Source organism: Homo sapiens, chromosome 2 (assembly GCF_000001405.40).
Source record: "Homo sapiens chromosome 2, GRCh38.p14 Primary Assembly".
Lineage (NCBI taxonomy): Eukaryota > Metazoa > Chordata > Mammalia > Primates > Hominidae > Homo > Homo sapiens.
This window is the reverse complement of record NC_000002.12, coordinates 129,781,309-129,784,286: the sequence shown is the minus strand read 5'-3', so window position 1 is coordinate 129,784,286 and position 2,978 is coordinate 129,781,309. Positions and strand designations below refer to the sequence as shown.

The window sequence follows — 2,978 nt, the reverse complement described above, 5'->3', positions numbered from 1 at the left end:
TACAAAAAAAATCTTTCATGTGACCTTTTGAGGAGTAGACATTTTTAATTTCGATGAGTTTGATTTATTGTCTTCTTTTGTGGATTGGGCTTTTGGTGTCAATTCTAAGAACACCTCCCCTAGCCCTGGGTCCTAGAGATTTTCCCCTGTATTTTTTCACTTAAAGTTTTAGAATTTTTCATTGTACACTTGTCTGTTTTGAGTTAATTTTTATAGAAGGTGTGGGACTTAGGTTGAGGTTCATGTTTTGGGTTATGGAGATTCAACTTCTTCCAGCACCATTTATTGAAAAGGTGGTCCTTCCTCCCTTAATTTGCTTTTCCACTTTTATAATACATCCATGTGGGTCTATTTGTTTGGGTCTATTTCTGGGTTCTCTGTTTTTTTCCTGTTGATCAATGTGTCTATGTCTCTGCCAATACTAACTATACTGTCTTGATTTCTGTGGTTACACAGGAAGCCTTAACACCAAGAAGAGTGATTCCTCCCACTTTCTTATCTTTATTTTTCCCCCTTTCCGTATATGCATTTTAGAACGAGATTGTCTATTTGAACAAAAACTCTTGCTAAGCTTTTGTTAGGAATTGTGTTCAGCATGTAGAATAGTTTTGGTAGTACTGGCATCTTTCCTATGCTGAGCCTTCTAATCCATGAGCACGCTGTGGCTCAAATTTTTAAGCCTTCTTTGATTTCTTTCATCAGCATTTTCTAATTTCCAGTGCACTGATCCTGAATATGTTTTGTTAGATTTATGTCTAGATATCATTTCATTTTTGATAGTGTCAGATAGACTGTATTATTATTGTCAAGAAATGTATTTAATTCCACAATTCTGCACCCACCCATTCCCCAGTATGTTATTATGAGAGAGAATTGTGTGAGTATACTGATTTTAGTTCCATAAACCCCTCAATTTAATGTGAATAACTCTCCAGGTAAGTTGGCTGTATTCTACCTGGACTTTGGTGTGATTTTGTGTGTGTGTGTGTGTGTGTGTGTGTGTGTGTGTGTGTATGGTCTGGAAACAATGCAGCTTCAAGCCACTGGTTTTATTGTGCTTTGAGTGACACAATGTAAGAAGCATCAGTATATCAAGCCACATGTAGCTTCTGCTCACTGATGGAGGAAAGGCAGGGTCGGCCCAAGCTCCCTGGCTTTTCTAATTGGAATGGAGCCCAATGCTCGCAGTGGGGTCCCAAGGTTGCAAACACCTTTCTCAACTTCATGAGCCACAGGACGAGGAGCCCTCCACGACCTGGCGTGCACACTCCCATCCCACAGATGCAGGTTTAGGATGGCTGCAATTTCTGGACCCCACAGTGGTGCCCAGGCTGTCAAAGCCAGGCTGCTGCTGGTGACACCTGAGTACCCTGAAAAGGGAAGTGGAAGGAGGCTTCTACCCTCATGAAGGGAGCAACAGAACCCTGGGAGGAGGAGAGACCCATGAGACATCAGAGAAGCCACCCCCACCCTGGGAGAGAGGGTGGTTGAGCCCGGCCACCACCGAGCCACAGAGAGCTGGAGCAAGAAGGCAGGTCCCTCGCACGCTGTGTGCACACAGGATGTTAGGATCAGGCTGTGGATGTGCGCCAGGCCTGGACACAAGGGTCAAGAGCTGGAGATAGTGTGGGGACCCCAACAGAACAGCCTCTCAGCCACTGTTCCTGAGAAGGAGGAAGTACAGATGGAATCAACCCACCTGGCCTTGTTTGTGCCTAATAATAATAACAGGCTGTGTGGGCTCCTCCATGCCGGGGCGTGCTAGGTGCTGAGCCTCGCTGTCTGATTAGTCTCAGGAGGTGTCATTCCTGTCACCCTGGTTTTGCAGGTGAGGAGGATGGTGGCACTTGCCCCAGATTTCACAGGCAGCAGGTGGGAGCCACCTAACCTGTGCCAGTAACCAAATCCGTAACCACACAGGCAAACTGTGGTACCCCTCATTACTGGGGTGGGGACGCTCTCCCTCCAGTCTTTGTTCTGCCGGCTTCATCAAGGGCCTCACTGAGCAGGACCCAGGATCCAGATGGGATCAGGCCGGTGGAAGCCACCCCATCCTCAACCTCTGTCAGTGTTTCCTAGAGAGCGCAGAGCTGTAAGCAGGACAGCCCTTCCCAGCGCTGCCTGTGTGTTGTCTGTATGCAGGATCTCTCCTGGCAGGCATGCACGAGCACGAGGACAGAGAGAAGGCAGCCTGTGTGCCGGGCTTCCTCTCAGTTATTGAAAAAAGGGGCCAGATCACTGGAGGGCAAGCACTCAAGGAGGGGGCTGGCTGAGGTCTGTGAGGCTCTCAGGTGATACCTGGCCATCAGGACACACATCCCCATGGAGGAGGGTGTATTGTGCCCGGGAGCTCCGAGGGCACAGACGGTGCTGGGGCACTTTCAGCCACTGATGAGTGGACAAAGGCACAGGTGAAAGGAAAAATGGCCCCCTAGGGCTGCCGCCCTATTGATTCCACTTCGAGCTTTAGCCACTGACGTTTTGAAAAATCAACAAGTGATGATGTCTTTGGGGTCAGATATTCTTTGCTCAACCTTAAATAAGTTACTTAAAATCTCAGTGTCTCAATTTTCTCAGCTACTGTGCGTAAGACAGCTGTGGGGACGGGACAGGCTGCGGGAGGGGACCCTCAGGACTGGGAAGGACAGCCGCATGCACAGGGCTGCCACCCCAACCTCCTCTTCGCTCGGCGGCTCAGCCTTGCTGCCCTCTCCTATCCCCTTGCTCTCTGTCTCTGTCTCTCTATGTCTCTGTCTGTCTCTGTCTCTCTGTTTCTGTCTCTCTCTATGTCTCTATCTCTCTCTCTCTGCCTCTGTTTCTCTGTCTGTCTCTGTCTGTTTCTGTCTCTGTCTCTATTTCTCTCTCTCTCTCTGTGCCTCTGTCTAACCTGACCATGACACCTAATTCAACACGAGCCCTTCAGCTAAAGTTTTTCTCACCAACTGCTGATAGCTTCTTTGCATACGCCGGCTCCTTCA

At 48.5% G+C, this 2,978-nt stretch overlaps 2 annotated features.

Moving 5' to 3' along the window:
- Positions 896-1,707: an enhancer, noted in NCBI's record as "H3K4me1 hESC enhancer chr2:130540153-130540964 (GRCh37/hg19 assembly coordinates)". NCBI's record gives its function as "activates a minimal SCP1, AML or CMV promoter by ChIP-STARR-seq in primed H9 embryonic stem cells {active_cell/tissue: H9 hESC(primed)}" and the evidence as "EXISTENCE:reporter gene assay evidence [ECO:0000049][PMID:30033119]".
- Positions 1,708-2,519: an enhancer, noted in NCBI's record as "H3K4me1 hESC enhancer chr2:130539341-130540152 (GRCh37/hg19 assembly coordinates)". NCBI's record gives its function as "activates a minimal SCP1, AML or CMV promoter by ChIP-STARR-seq in primed H9 embryonic stem cells {active_cell/tissue: H9 hESC(primed)}" and the evidence as "EXISTENCE:reporter gene assay evidence [ECO:0000049][PMID:30033119]".